At 43.9% G+C, this 17157-nt stretch overlaps 1 annotated feature.

Moving 5' to 3' along the window:
• Nucleotides 13575–13750: a silencer, noted in NCBI's record as "fragment chr19:29635999-29636174 (GRCh37/hg19 assembly coordinates)". NCBI's record gives its function as "represses an EF-1alpha promoter that drives an FKBP-Casp9 reporter gene in an ReSE screen in HepG2 liver carcinoma cells {active_cell/tissue: HepG2}" and the evidence as "EXISTENCE:reporter gene assay evidence [ECO:0000049][PMID:32094911]".

Genomic DNA, 17157 nt, shown 5'->3' on the forward strand with positions numbered 1-17157 from the left:
AACTGTCCACCATATCCTTCACTCCCTGTCCTGAGTCCACATTTCAGACCAAATGAGAAACATAAGCCACTGGGAATTGAGCAGATGGCTTTTCCAAAGCTTCCACAGTTTTCATTCCATCCAAATCAAACGTGGATTGGAAGCCACAGGGTTTGTAAATGCCACTGTGCCATTTGAAGCTAGGATCTCGTTTGCCAACTTGCAGCCTGCACTTCAGATGCTTCAAAAGAGAGGGTTATCCACACTGACTTATAAATAAATGAAGAAACTAAATAATGCATTCCATCCTAATATGGCTCTCATTTCCTTGATGATTATGTAAAAAATCACTAACCTAAATTGCCCAATAGATAGAAGACCCTCAAAAGGAAACCCGAGGGAGAACTGGCCTTTATCCATTCCATATAAATCACAGAGATGCTGCTTTTCCTCACATCTGAGGAGAGGGGCCTCCAGGCTGGGGCTGCACAGGGCGGTAGATGCTTCCTCCTCCTCAGCTTCCTGACTGCCTGAGAAGAGTCAGCCTCTGTGTAGGGGCTGGATCTGTCAGTTCCTGGGTTACCAACAAGCCCGGTGCTCAGGGAGGGAGTAGGGACAGTGGGTTCTCAGAAGCAGTTCTGAGAGAATCCCGTTGTGGACTTAGCAGGCTCAGGCAAAAGAGAGGATTAACTCTGCTTGGGCCAAACCATGCGATGCATCTGCTTGCATTGGGAGGAAGATGGTCACCAGGAGCTGGCAGGACTGTTGTTCAGAAAGCAATGCCCCAAAGATGCATTTACTCATTCTACTGTCAAATAAAGGAAGGGCAGGAAGTTTTTCAGAGGGAAGGGAGCCTGAGGGTCCTCACTTCCCAAATGCCTGGCATTTACTCATTTCATCTTCACAGTGAGTCCTACTGCCACCACTGTAGATGAGAAAACTGAGTTTCAGAGGTGGAGCAAGCAGCCAACATAACACATTTGTTAAACAGCTGGGTTGGGACCTCATCTCTGGACTCCTACGCACACCCTCCATCCACACTGTAAGCTGCTGGGGAGGAGGTTAACAGCACTTCCCACTCTGAAGTTGCCTTTAAAAAAATTATGGAGGGAGGTTCCAAGATGGCTGAATAGGAACAGCTCCCGTCTACGGCTCCCAGCATGAGCGATGCAGAAGATGGGTGATTTCCGCATTTCCAACTGAGGTACAGGGTTCATCTCACTGGGGCTTGTCAGACAGTGGGTGCAGCCCATGAAGCACAAGCCAAAGCAGGGCGGGACACCACCTCACCTGGGAAGTGCAAGGGGTCAGGGAATTCCCTTTGCTAGCCAAGGGAAGCTGTGACCAATGGTACCTGGAAAATTGGGACACTCCCACCCTAATACTGTGCTTTTCCAATGGTCTTAGCAAACAGCACACCAGGAGATTATATCCCATGCATGGTTCAGAGGGTCCCATGCCCGTGGAGCCTCACTCACTGCTAGCACAGCAGTCTAAGATCGAACTGCAAGGCAGCAGCAAGGCTGGGGAAGGGGCGTCTACCATTGCTGAGGCTTGAGTAGGTAAACAAAGTGGCCAGGAAGCTCGAAATGGGTGGAGCTCACAGCAGCTCAAGGAGGCCTGCCTGCCTTTGTAGATTCCACCTCTGGGGGCAGGTCATAGCTGAAGAAAAGGCAACAGAAACTTCTGCAGACTAAACGTCCCTGTCTGACAGCTTTGAAGAGAGTAGTGGTCCTCCCAGCACAGAGTTTGAGATATGAGAATGGACAGTCTGCCTCCTCAAGTGGGTCCCTGACCCCCGAGTAGCCTAACTGGGAGGCACCTCCCAGTAGGGGCCAACTGACACCTCATACAGCCAGGTGCCCCTCTGGGATGACGCTTCCAGAGGAATGATCAGGCAGCAACATTTGCCATTCTGCAATATTTGCTGTTGTTCTGCAGCCTCTGCTGGTGACACCCAGGTAAACAGGGTCTGGAGTGGACCTCCAGCAAACTCCAACAGACCTGCAGATGAGGGTCCTGACTGTTAGAAGGAAAACTAACAAACAGAAAGGACATCCACACCAAAACCCCATCTGTACATCACCATCATCAAAGACCAAAGGTAGATAAAACCACAAAGATGGAGAGAAACCAGAGAAGAAAAGCTGAAAATTCTAAAAATCAGAGCACTCTTCTCCTCCAAAGGAATGCAGCTCCTCACCAGCAATGGAACAAAGCTGAATGGAGAATGACTTTGACGAGTTGAGAGAAGAAGGCTTCAGACGATTGGTAATAACAAACTTCTCTGAGCTAAAGGAGGATGTTTGAACCCATTGCAAAGAAGCTAAACACCTTGAAAAAAGATTAGACAAACGGCTAACTAGAATAGACAGTGTAGAGAAGATCTTAAATGACCTGATGGAGCTGAAAACCACGGCACAAGAACCACATGATGCATGCACAAGCTTCAGTAGATGATACGACCAAGTGGAAGAAAGGGTATCAGTGATTGAAGATCAAATGAATGAAATGAAGCAGGAAGAGAAGTTTAGAGAAAAAAAAAAGTAAAAAGAAATGAGCAAAGCCTCCAAGAAATACGGGACTATGTGAAAAGACCAAATCTACATCAGATTGGTGTACCTGAAAGTGACAGGGAGAAAGGAACCAAGTTGGAAAACACTATTCAGGATATTATCCAGGAGAACTTCCCCAACCTAGTGAGGCAGGCCAACATTCACATTCAGGAAATACAGAGAATGCCACAAAGATACTACTTGAGAAGAGCAACTCCAAGACACATAATTGTCAGTCACCAAAGTTGAAATGAAGGAAAAAATATTAAGGGCAGCCAGAGAGAAAGGTCGGGTTACCCACAAAGGGAAGCCCATCAGACTAACAGCGGATCTCTCGGCAGAAACTCTACAAGCCAGAAGACAGTGGGGGCCAATATGCAACATTCTTAAAGAAAAGAATTTTCAACCCAGAATTTCATATCCAGCGAAGCTAAGCTTCATAAGTGAGGGAGAAATAAAATCCTTTACAGACGACATGAGCAAATGCTGAGAGATTTTGTCACCCCCAGGCCTGCCCTAAAAGAGCTCCTGAAGGAAGCACTAAACATGGAAAGGAACAACCAGTACCAGCCACTGCAAAAACATGACAAATTGTAAAGACCATTAATGCTAGGAAGAAACTAACAAGCAAAATTACCAGCTAACATCATAATGACAGGATCAAATTCACACATAACAATATTAACCTTAAATGTAAATGGGCTAAATGCCCCAATTAAAAGACACAGACTGGCAAATTGGATAAAGAGTCAAGACCCATCAGTGTGCCATATTCAGGAGACCCATCTCAAGTGTGGAGACACACATAGGCTCAAAATAAAGGGATGGAGGAAGATCTACCAAGCAAATGGAAAACAAAAAAAAGCAGAGGTTGCAATCCTAGTCTCTGATAAAACAGACTTTAAACCAACAAAGATCAAAGAGGACAAAGAAGGCCATTACATAATGGTAAAGGGATCAATTCAACAAAAAGAGCTAACTATCCTAAATATATATGCACCCAATACAGGAGCACCCAGATTCATAAAGCAAGGCCCTAGAGACCTAGAAAGAGACTTAGACTCCCACACAATAATAATGGGAGACTTTAACACCCCACTGTCAACATTAGACAGATCAACAATACAGAAAGTTAACAAGGATATCCAGGAATTGAACTCAGCTCTGAACCAAGATGACCTAGTAGACATCTACAGAACTCTCCACCCCAAATCAACAGAATATACATTCTTCTCAGCACCATATCACACTTATTCCAAAACTGACAACATAGTTGGAAGAACTCCTCAGCAAATGTAAAAGAACAGAAATTATAACAAACTGTCTCTCAGACCACAGTGCAATCAAACTAGAACTCAGGATTAAGAAACTCACTCAAAACCACTCAACCACATGGAAACTGAACAACTTGTTCCTGAATGACTACTGGGTACATAACATAATGAAGGCAGAAATAAAGATGTTCTTTAAACCAATGAGAACAAAGACACATCATACCAGAATCTCTGGGACACATTTAAAGCAGTGTGTAGAGGGAAATTTATAGCACTAAATGCCCACAAGAGAAAGCAGGAAAGATCTAAAATGAATACCCTAACATCACAATTAAAAGAACTAGAGAAGCAAGAGCAAACACATTAAAATCTAGCAGAAGGCAAGAAATAACTAAGATCAGAGCAGAACTGAAGGAGATAGAGACACAAAAAAAAGCCCTTCAAAAAATCAATGAATCCAGGAGATGGTTTTTGAAAAGATCAACAAAATTGATAGACGGCTAGCAAGACTAATACAGAAGAAAAGAGAGAAGAATCAAATAGATGCAATAAAAAATGATAAAGGGGATATCACCACCAATCCCACAGAAATACAAACTACCATCAGAGAATACTATAAACACCTCTATGCCCATAAACTAGAAAATCTAGAAGAAATGGATAAATTCCTGGACACATATACTCTCCCAAGACTAAACCAGGAAGAACTTGAATCCCCGAATAGACCAATAACAGACTCTGAAATTGAGGCAATACTTGAGAGCCTACCAACCAAAAAAGGTCCAGGACCAGATGGATTCACAGTCAAATTCTACCAGAGGTACAAAGAGGAGTTGGTACCATTCTGTCTGAAACTATTCCGATCAATAGAAAAAGAGGGACTCCTCCCTAACTCATTTTATGAGGCCAGCATCATCCTGATACCAAAGCTGGGCAGAGACACAACAAAAAAAGAGAATTTTAGACCAATATCCCTGATGAACATTGATGCAAAAATCCTCAATAAAATACTGGCAAAGAGAATCCAGCAGCACATCAAAAAGCTTATCCACCACGATCAAGTCGGCTTCATCCCTGGGATGCAAGGCTGGTTCAACATAGGCAAATCAATAAAAGTAATCCGTCATAGAAACACAACCAAGTACAAAAACCACATGATTATCTCAACAGATGCAGAAAAGGCCTTTGACAAAATTCAACAGCACTTCATGCTGAAAACTCTCAATAACCTAGGTATTGATGGGCTGTATCTCAAAATAACAAGAGCCACTTATGACAAACCGACAGCCAATATCATACTGAATGGGCAATAACTGGAAGTATTCCCTTTGAAAACAGGCATAAGACAGGGATGCCCTCTCTCATCACTCCTATTCAACATAGTGTTGGAAGTTCTGGCCAGGGCAATCAGACAGGAGAAAGAAATAAAGGGTATTCAATTAGGAAAAGAGGAAGCCAAATTGTCCCTGTTTGCAGATGACATGATTGTATATTTAGAAAACTCCATTGTCTCAGCCCAAAATCTCCTTAAGCTGATAAGCAACTTCAGCAAAGTCTCAGGATACAAAATCAATGTGCAAAAATTACAAGCATTCTCATACACCAATAACAGACAAACAGAGAGCCAAATCATGAGTGAACTCCCATTCGCAATTGCTTCAAAGAGAATAAAATACCTAGGAATCCAACTTACAAGGGATGTGAAGGACTTCTTCAAGGCGAACTACAAACCACTGCTCAATGAAATAAAAAAAGGACACAAACAAATGGAAGAACAATCCATGCTCGTGGATAGGAAGAATAAATATTGTGAAAACGGCCATACTGCCCAAGGTAATTTATAGATTCAATGCCATCCCTATCAAGCTACCAATGCCTTTCTTCACAGAATTGGAAAAAACTAATTTAAAGTTCATATGGAACCAAAAAAGAGACCGTATTGCCAAGACAATCCTAAGCCAAAAGAACAAAGCTGGAGGCATCACACTACCCGACTTCAAACTATACTACAAGGCTACAGTAACCAAAACAGCATGGTACTGGTACCAAAACAGACATATAGACCAATGGAACAGAACAGAGCCCTCAGAAACAATACCACACATCTACAACCATCTGAATTTTGACAAACCTGACAAAAACAAGAAATGGGGAAAGGATTCCCTATTTAATAAATGGTGCTGGGAAAACTGGCTAGCCATATGTAGAAAGCTGAAACTGGATCCCTTCCTTACACCTTATACAAAAATTAATTCAAGGTGGATTAAACACTTAAATGTTAGACCTAAAACCATAAAAATCCTAGAAGAAAACCTAGGCAATACCATTCAGGACATAGGCATGGGCAAGGACTTCATGACTAAAACACCAAAAGCAATAGCAACAAAACCAAAATTGACAAATGGGATCTAATTAAACTAAAGAGCTTCCACACAGCAAAAGAAACTACCATCAGAGTGAACAGACAACCTACAGAATGGGAGAAAATTTTTGCAATCTACCCATCTGACAAAGGGCTAATATCCAGAATCTACAAAGAACTTAAACAAATTTACAAGAGAAAATCAAACAACCCCATCAAAAAGTGGGCAAAGGATATGAACAGACACTTATCAAAAGAATATATTTATGCAGCCAAAAGACACATGAAAAAATGCTCATCATCACTGGACATCAGAGAAATGCAAATCAAAACCACAGTGAGATACCATCTCACACCAGTTAACAATGGTGATCATTAAAAAGTCAGGAAACAACAGGTGCTGGAGAGGATGTGGAGAAATGGGAACACTTTTACACTGTTGGTGGGAGTGTAAACTAGTTCGACCATTGTGGAAGACAGTGTGGCAATTCCTCAAGGATCTAGAACTAGAAATACCATTTGACCCAGCCATCCCATTACTGGGTATATACCCAAGGGATTATAAATCATGCTGCTATAAAGACACATGCACGTGTATGTTTATTGTGGTACTATTCACAATAGCAAAGACTTGGAACCAACCCAAATGTCCATCAATGATAGACTGCATTAAGAAAATGTCGCACATATACACCAGGAATACTATGCAGCCATAAAAAATGATGAGTTCATGTCCTTTTGTAGGGTCATGGATGAAGCTGAAAACCATTATTCTCAGCAAACTATCACAAGGACAGAAAACCAAACACTGCATGTTCTCACTCATAGGTGGGAATTGAACAATGAGAACACTTGGACACAGGGTGGGGAACATCACACACCGGAGCCTGTCATGGGGTGGGGGGAGAGGGGAGGGCTAGCATTAGGAGATATACCTTATGTAAATGACGAGTTAATGGGTGCAGCACACCAACATGGCACATGTATACATATGTAATAGACCTGAACTTTGTGCACATTTACCCTAGAACTTAAAGTATAATAAAAAAAAAAAAAAGCTGAAGATGATTAAAAATGATAACAAAATAGGCAAAAAAAATTATGATAGAAAGAAAATCTGACGTAATTGACTCCATCTCACTTCTACCAGGCTGAATTGCTTTTGCTCATTCTTGTGTGGAGGCCATAATAGTCCTTTTCTTGATTTTCTCCCTGCCTTGTTCAAAGGTTGAAACTATATTTGTAAAGACTGATCAAAGGCCAGAAGGTCAGAATTCTGGTAGAGGCCTGAACTTTGCTAAAGAATGGGCACAATTAAACAATAATCAGCCATTGTTGGCTCAGCTTAATTTTACTGCCCCAGAGTCACATAACAGAGGTCACAAGATTTGTAACTTCCCCAGCTGCTCCTACAAGTAACATCACTATTGTGAGGCCTAAAGGACTGGTCTTTGAGATATTTTTCTGATTTAGCATTTTGCTAAGAGTTACCACCTGGGCCTGTGACCAACACCAATGGATAGACTCAACTGGCCCTGTGACCCTTGGGTAAGAAATGACTCAGCCACAGTTTCCACACCTCAGTGACTTTATCCCCAGCTAATCAATTGTTTCAGTTTCCCAGTCCCCTCCCCAGCAAAGAACCCATAAAAACCCTAGCCTCTGAATTCTCAGGGAAGTGGATTTGAGAATCTCTCCCATCTCCTTGTGTGCCTTCCCTGTGATTATTAAACTCTTTCTCTGCTGCAACACCTGCTGTCTCAGTGTATTGGCTTTTCTGAGCAATTGACAAGAAGCACCCATGGGGCTCTGACAACATCATGGTAGCAGCCTGCTCCTTCAACTGCTATTGAGTGGAAAGGAAACCCTGGTGTCCCTCCCCCTTCCCCAGGAAGGACTGGGCACTAGCCCCTGAGGGTTGATGGTGGATCATTATTCATTCATTAATTCATTCATTCTCTTATCAGCACCTTCCAATATCCAGTCAACAAACAAGCTGAGAAGGCCCAGGTGATGGAAACCTCCTCACAGAGGCTGAGGAAGGGAGATGGATGAGCCCCAAAGCACACTACCAGGTTACAGAATAAGTGCTGTGGCACCAAAACAACATGGTGGCATGGTCACAAGAGTGAACCCCACACTCAAAGCCCTGGGCTGGAGTCCAGCCCTCACCAACTACAGGACTCAGTTTCCTCATCTATAAGATGGGGGTGATAAAAATGCCCATTTTATGGAGTGTGGTGGGAGGACTAGAGGAGATGTGAAGGTGTTTAGAAAATCTCTGGCATGTGGTGGCTGTCTCATGAGGGACTAGCCATGGTCACTAAGTATCACTGTCATGAGATGAGAACATCTTCTTGGGTTTGCAGATCTGCTGTGAGGGCACTGGCCTGGGTTTGCCACATACCCCTCTAGGTATTCACAGGCATTTAAATGCCTTTAGCCTTCACAGTGACGGTCACCCTTTAAGAAGGACACACATTAGCATCTGTCTTTGACAGAGGAAGAACCAGTGCACTGACGGGCTAAGTGACTTGTACAGGACACAGTGCTAACACAGGGGTGAGCCTGAATCCATCCCAGACAGTGGCCTCCAGCAACTGCTTTCCCAACCACTGCAATTCCACTGCCAAAGAAAGGAAGGGCAGGAAGTCTTTCAGAGGGGAGGGAGCCTGAAAGTCCTCACCTACCGAATGCCTGGCATTTACTCATTTCATATTCTCAGTAAGTCCTACTGCCCTCACTGTAGGTGAGGAAGCTGAGGTTCATAGGTGAAGCAAGCAGCCAAAGTCACATATCTGTTAAACAGCTGGGTTGGGACCTCATCTCTGGACTCCCCTGCACACCCTCAGTCCACACTTCAAGCCACATTCTCCATCTAGCCTCGCCAACAGGCCTCAGGACCTACAGCTATGACCATCCTGTTCACAGTATTTGCTTTGTTTTGATTTTAATGCTTCTCTGAAAGGATGATGTTCACCTTTCTTGACCTCAGAGAAGCCAGAGAGGAGATAGTCATCTCCGTGGATGGCAAAGGCCCATGTGTTGTGAGTGGCAGCCACCCCCTAGCTGGAGGTCAGGTCCACATAGAATCCCCATTGTAAGCACACCACAGTGATATGGCTACCTGAGTAAATCCTGTGGGGAAGTCTGTGGATGCAAAGACTCACCTGTAAAGCAAACGGTCCTGCTTCCATTCACCATGTTCATCTTCTGATAATGTAAGAAGCACATCGTATGTGTGATGTGCGTGGTGACTCACACCATAACAGTGGCTACCACTTATTGAGAATTTACAAATGTCAGCAGCTATCCTAATAATGTCACATGTTATCTCATTTATCTGGGACAACAGCTCTATCAGGTAAGTTCTGATGTTATCATCATTTTCCAGGTGCTACCTCAATCGAGAAGGCAGGGCAGGGACACTCCAAGTGTGCTCCCTGGATCGATAGCATCAGTGTCACCTAGGAATATTGCAGAAAGGCACATTCTTAGTCTCAGATCAGGTCTGTTGTATCAGAGCCTCTGGGCAGCACCCCGCCATCTGTGCTTTCATAAGCCCTCCAAGGGATTCTTTTTTTTATGTTAGTTATTTATTTTAGATTCAGGGGGTACGTGTGCAGGTTTGTTACACGAGTATATTGCATTATGACGAGGTTTGGGCTTCTAATGATCCCACCACCCAAGTGGTGAACACAGTGCTGATACATAGTTTTTCCATACTTGCCCCCCTCCTTCCCTCCTCGGTTTTGAAATCCCGAGGGTTTATTGCTCCAGTCTTTGTGTCCATGTGTATCCAATATTTAGCTCACTTTTTTTTTTAGATGGAGTCTTGCTCTGTCGCCCAGGCTGGAGTGCAGTGGCGCAGTCTCGGCTCACTGCAACTTCTACCTTCCAGGTTCAAGCAATTCTCTTGCCTCAGCCTCCCAAGTAGCAGAGATTACAGGTGCCCACCACCACGCCCAGCTAATTTTTGTATTTTTAGTAGAGACAGGGTTTCACCATGTTGGCCAGGCTGCTCTTGAACTCCTGACCTCAGGTGATCCACCTGCCTCGGCCTCCCAAAGTTCTGGCATTACAGGCGTGTGCCACCATGCCCAGCCCCGTTTAGCTCACTTTTAAGTGAGAACATGCAGCATTCAGTTTTCTATTTCTGCATTTCTTCACTTTAGGATAATGGCCTCTAGCTGCATCTATGTTGCTACAAAGGGGTTTTGTTCATTTTTAATAGCTACACCTGCAGGTGAGTATGATGTGTTAAAGTTTGAGATCAACCAGACTAGGGATAACAAAAGACCTCAAGATCTCAATGGCTTACATCAGGGGCTGTCAAACTATGGCCAAAGGCCAAACCCAGCCCACTGCTAGTTTTTGTAAATGAAGTCTTATTGGAACACAGCCATGTCCATTGGTTTGCAGTGCTGCCTGTGACTGCTTTGCAGATACAGAGGCAGAGTTGGGTAAGTTTGACAGAGACCACATGACCTACAAACCCTAAAATATTTTCTCTCTGGTCTTTTTTCAACCCTGGCTTCGAGCAACAAAGGTCATGTCTCGGATCCACTGCAGGTCTATGGAGGCCAGTTGTGGCTCTACATTCTGTCTCTCTTTCTGTCCCAGGCTGCAGTGGCAGGCTCTGCCTGGGGCTTTGTAGCACATTGGGCTAGGAAAAAGGACACAGGGAGACACATGCAACAATTAAAGCTTCTGCTCTGAAATAACACACATCATTGGGTCATATTCCATTAGCCCAAGCCTAATGTCCTTGGAATATTAAAGAATAATCCAACCTCCACACTCAATCCATCTAATCCGACAATCCAGCCCTGTCGTCGGGTCACAAATACCCAGCTTATTCTCCTTCCACATGCAGAACCCATACCCCTCTCCCAAGAGAGGTGGCCTAGCTAGTCATAACATCAGGCTCAAGGCCCATCTCAGGACTGTCTCTGTGGGGCAGAGTGATCTCTCTGACCTCCTGAACAAAGATAACATGCACCATGGAACAGAGACAGGGTGGCCACAGGGACATTCCCAGCTGGATCAGGTGGGGGCGGGGATGGGAGCAGTCTCAGCCCTACGGGTGGATATTGATACCACTCCATAGGAAGGCCCACAGTACCTTGTCTTCTGTGCCCCTTAAACTATAGCCTGGCATTATCCTAAGAAAATTAAGGCAGAAATAGAAAACCAAATACCGCACGTTCTCACTTAAAAATAGAAGTTAAATGTTGGGTACACATGAACACAAAGATAGGAAAAATAAACTTCAGGGATTCCAAAATGGGGGAGAGAGGGAGGGGTTGAAAAACTACTTATTGGGTACTATGTTTGCTACTTAAGCAATGGGACCGTTAGAAGCTCAAACCTCAGCATCACGCAACATATCCATGTAACAAAGCACCTCGGCATCACATGATATACCCAAGTAACAAACCTGCACTCAGCATCACACAATATACTCAAGTAAGAAACTTGCACTCAGCATTACACAATATACCCAAGTAACAAACCTGCACCTCAGCGCCACAGAATATACCCAAGTAACAAACCCGCACCTCAGCATCACACAATATACCCAAGTAACAAACCCGCACTCAGCATCACACAATATACCCAAGTAAAAAACCTGCATCTCATCATCACACAATATAGCCAAGTAAAAAACCTGCACCTCTGCATCACACAATACACTCAAGTAACAAACATGCACGTCATCACCAGCAAATACCCAAGTAACAAACCTGCACTCAGCACCATGCAATATACCCAAGTAACAAACCTGCACTCAGCATCACACAGTATACCCAAGTAACAAACCTGCACTCAGCATCACACAGTATACCCAAGTAACAAACCTGCACCTCAGCATCACAGTATACCCAAGTAACAAACCTGTACCTCATCATCATACAGTATATCCATGTAACAAACCTGCACCTCAGCGTCACCCAATGTACCCAAGTAACAAACCTGCACCTCAGTGTCACACAATGTACCCAAGTAACAAACCTGCACATGCATCCCTTGAATCTCAAATAAAAATAAGGTAAAATGCAGATTCTCAGACACCAAAAACAAAATCTATGGCACAAGAGGTTTTCTCTGTTCTATTATTCTTGTCCCCCTCTAATGAGGGTGGCAGAAAATAAGCTCTACCTGTGGAAACAGTTCTGTTTCCTCAGCCTGCTTCCTGACCAGATGAGGCCGGGGGCTCAAGGGTTGTTTTAAGCCCCAGACAGGCTTTGGCTGTATTTGCCCAGGTCTGTGATTCTTTTGCAGCAGAATTCTCTTAAAACATATTTGTTTCTTATTTATTTGATTCCAGGCAGATCCAGGTAGCATTGACCACACTCATGTCCAATTCTCCTGACTTAATTGTGGGTGCCCTGATTGCATCTGGCTTCTATGGGACAGTCACTCCCTAGTCTTTTGTCCTGGAGCCATAATGGGGAAACTGAGGCTCAGAAAGATGAAGTAAACTTTCTCTGGCTTCAGCTCTGGGATTGAACCCAGCTCTCTAGGTCTCCAGAGCTGTCTATACCACCTCTGCCCATCATCCAAAATGTCCAGACTTATACTCCTATTCTGTGTCAAATAATTCCACAGCCTTAATAAGCAATTGTCAGAGGCTTGAAGAAAACTGAATTAGATGTCCCTAAGAACTGCAGAACTCTCAGAACTTAAAGACTCTGTTCAGACCCCTGCCCTAAGATGCTTGACCAAACTCCAGCATGGGTCCTAGCAGGATGAGGCCATGTCCCCAGGATGACCCCAGCCCCCGATTAAAATGCCTGCCTGAGAAAGATCAACATTGCCAGGAAAGTTTACTTTTCATTCCAGGCCACACCTGACCTGGGCCTCTGACCTCCCTTTCTTAAAGCATTTACTAAAATGAGCTTATAATTGTGAATGTATCTTCTGCAACTCAGGAGCATCCTTGTGGAGGACCCAAGAGCTGTTCCTTTGAAATGCAGTCATTAAGAAGGATAGTGCCTCTGTCTCCCAGCCTCTGTCAGAGAATGGAGCCCTAACTTAGATCACTGCCCACTGGCAGACCCGATTGGCCTCACCGCATTTACCCCAACCAACCCTCTGACCATTTTCCCTTCTCTGGCTCTGCTGAGCCCCCACTCTTCCCACTTCCTCCTTCTCCCTTTAATACACCCAGCTCACCTCTGCAGGAATCAGAATGGGGCTCTGCTCTTCCCCGCACTGGATAACCACTGTTATCCAGTAGTTACTGGATAACTACTGTGGATAACTACTGTTATCCAGTAGTTACTGGATAACATCTGTTTTCACCACTTTAAGTAGTATCCGGCTGTGTTTATTTTTGACACCCCCTTCTCACCCAATACTTCTTTCACAGACACCCCTTTGCTTTCTCCCAAGGCTCAAGTGTCCTTATCAAACTTTAAGGAATGTTAACATCACTGGGAGGTGGGAGCATGCTTGTTAAAAACACATAGCTCCAAGCACCAATCTCTCGGGATTTCATTTCATAGAGTGGGTAGAGACTGGGAATCAGCATTTTAGCAAGGAAGACTACCTCCTCAGCCCCCCAGGGGATTCTGGTGCAAAGGTAGGCTTGCCACTCTTTGAGGAACATTGCCCTATCAGGTCTGTAATTTCCACCTGCTAGGGGATGAATAACGTTCTGTGAGAAAGTAGCAAGTTCTTCCAAAGGTGCTTGCAGACATGTGAGAAGAAGCACTTCATTAATTTGCACCCCAGTCCTTGGAGGTGGCACCGTGACAGTTATAATTATCCCTCGATTACTTGGAGGGATTTAAGTGTTCTTAGAGAACAAACTTAGGCACAGAAGTTAAGTGACTGCCAAATGCACCCAGCAGGCTGGTGGTGGGAATCAGGCCATGAAGGGGCAGACCAAGGACACACAAGTCCCCGCAGAGGCCAGACATTAGCTACAAGGTACAATAAATCACCTCCTCTTGTGCACCAACCCAGAAGGAGGGAAGAAAGCAGAGAAGGACAAGACAAAAGGAAGAAAAGAGTCAACTAATGTTGTCTCAATCCACAGGCCATAGAAGTGCTTCACTGAATTTCATAAAACACTGAGTTAGTTGCCAATAGTTTCAAATCAGATAGCTGCACATAAGAATGTAAATCTCAGCTTCTCAGGAAAAATCAGAGGCTCTGGAAACACACAGAGCTAAGGGCAGCAATTCACTTTGGAGGCAGCGTGCAACCTCCTGCCACTAAATGACTGCCATGCTCATTGACCTGTGCAGGCCCCAGAGGTGACCCCGGCCCAGTCAGTGGATCATACTTCCCGTCACAGCTAAGCTTGGGGAGAGGACTAGCGTTTCCTCTCCTCACTGAGTGTCAAATAAATACCTAGCTTGGAGGGTCTGCAGAGTGGGGCTCCTGTGATGGACAAGTGCTTCCAGTGAGTGTGGAAAGCCCTTTATCTTCTTCCAAGAGATCTGTGCAAACTCCCCCTCCTCCAGCAGAAAAGGCAATGGTCTGGACATTTCATTGCACCTTGGAACAAGTAAATCACTTTGGACTTTCCTAAAACCTGCTCTGTCACCATCGGCCATTGCCAGGCCAAGGAAACAGAGAAGAATTTGTGGAAGCAAAACAGCTCCTTGCGGGTGAGAAAAATCTTACTTAGGTTTTTCTGGCAGCAGAAGCAGTTGAACAAAGAGAGACTTCTAAGAGAAAATGAAAAGCTTTAGAATGAGTTTATCGCCAACAAAGCCAGCTCAAGCTTGGGGCTTTTTCATAATATTTTAAAATTAAGTTAACATTCATTTAACACTAAAACAGGAATTTAATGAAGTCTGAAAAATAATCCGGCCTTTGAATGAGATATCTAAAATTCCATTTTAATATGCAAAACAATGTAAGATAATTGTATTCAAGCAATAATTCAAAAACATTTTATCATAATTGCAAGTTCACACAAAAATATGAAGGAACCACTGTAATATTCTCAATATGAGGAAATATGGGGGAACTAAAAAAGTAATGGTCTTTAATTCAAAACCAACTAATAAGGCATATAGATAAGTATTAGATTACTGTACGATTTTATCTGCAACAGTTAAACCCTGGAACATGGCTGAGAATCAGTGAAAACCAAAGTCATCCTCTGTAACCAGCCAGATGCACAGTCACTTCTGGTCGCAATTAGCCATGCTTGGACAGTCACGTTTTCTCCTTAAGAAACCAAACAGAATTCCAGATTCTCTCTATCCTGCCACAGGTTCCCTGTTCATAACACATTTTTTATTCTTGAGTCTATTAGCTCCAGATGATATCCAGAAACTCATTTTCAAAAGCAGCTTTTAGAAATGGCACAAAACGGCTGGGCGCATTGGCTCACACCTGTAATCCCAGCACTTTGGGAGGCTGAGGTGGGCAGATCACTTGAGGTCAAGAGTTCAAGACCAGCTTGGCCAACATGGTGAAAACACATCTCTACTAAAAAAAAAAATACAAAAATTAGCTGTGGGTGGTGGCACAGGACTGTAATCCCAGCTACTTGGGAGGCTGAGGTGGGAGAATTGCTTGAATCCAGGAGGCAGAGGTTGCCATGAGCCAGGGTCATGCCACTGCACTCTAGCCTGTGTGACAGAGCAAGACTCTGTCTCAAAAAAAAAAAAAAAAAAAAAAAGCACAAGACAATATGGATATTTTCCTGTAAGTGAAATTTATAAACATGAAGCCCACAATTATAGAGCAAAGATAGTTGCTTTGCGTTTCCTAGGATCAAATGGAAGCCCCTATTCAGAACTAAATGGGCTGGCTGTGGTGGCTCACACCTGTAATTTCATCACTTTGGGAGGCTGAGAAGGGAGCATTGCTTGAGTTCAGGAGTTCAAGACCAGCCTGGGCAGCACAGCAAAACCCTGTCTCTACAAAAAAATACAATAATTAGCTAGGAGTGGTGATGTATGCCTGTAGTCACAACTACTCGGGAGGCTGAGGCAGGAGGATCAATTAAGCCCCAGAGGTCAAGGCTGCAGTGAGCTGTAATCACATTATTGCACTCCAGCCTGTGCAACAGAGTGAGACCTTGTCTCAAAAAACAAAACAGACAAATAAAGCATAAACAATTTAAACCAGGAAATTTCTTCTGATCTATTCTGTGTGTATGAAGCACCTCCTATCTAGAACATGGGAGTGATATTGTACATATATGATAAATCCAATAAGATCTCTTTGGAGTGAGGGGTGACATGAGCATAGGAGACTGGCTTTATGCATTGCAAAATTGTCAAATGCTGTCTTGGGACTCCTTGGGTTATAGATGACATAAGCCTACCCAACTCAACTTAATCAAAAAAGGAATTACCGGTTCTTGCCACTGAATAGTTGGGTTTGGATGCAGCTGGTTGCAGGAGATTCAACACTGTCATCAGAACTCTGCATCTCTCCACATCTCTTCCTGGTGTTGGCTTCATTCTCAGACAGTCTGTCTCTTCATATAGCTTTCTGCAGGCTCACAGTTACATTAGCCTTGCAGCAATCTCAGGAGGAAAAGTGTCTCTTACCCTATGGTTCTAGCAAATATTAAAGAGTTGGCTTGTTCTGACTGGATCATCTTGAATTGAGGAGAAATCCCTAAACCTACTGTAGTAGCCATCCATGGAAAAGAAGTGTTCTAATTGGAGAGAACAGGTTTATGGACTCACTCCAGGATCCTTGGGAAAGAGGTCTTAGCCCCACCCAAATGTCATAGATTGCGCTTGGAGGAAAGGCTAACCCCCTAAGAAAAAATCATGGTGCTGTTATCACAAAAAGAAGACAAGAATAATAGACAAGTAAAAATACCCATTGCTTCCTACACATGCCCTAGAAGACATTTAATGTATGTGCAGTGGGCATTCAGAGAGAGAAACAGAAGTGTTATAACACGTGCACTGCCTCACATGTAACAGGAAAAGGACAAGGAGAGGGAAGGAATGGAGGGGAAGCTGCCCGCACACTTGGCTTGAGTTCAGTTTCTTTG

Source organism: Homo sapiens, chromosome 19 (genome assembly GCF_000001405.40).
Source record: "Homo sapiens chromosome 19, GRCh38.p14 Primary Assembly".
Lineage (NCBI taxonomy): Eukaryota > Metazoa > Chordata > Mammalia > Primates > Hominidae > Homo > Homo sapiens.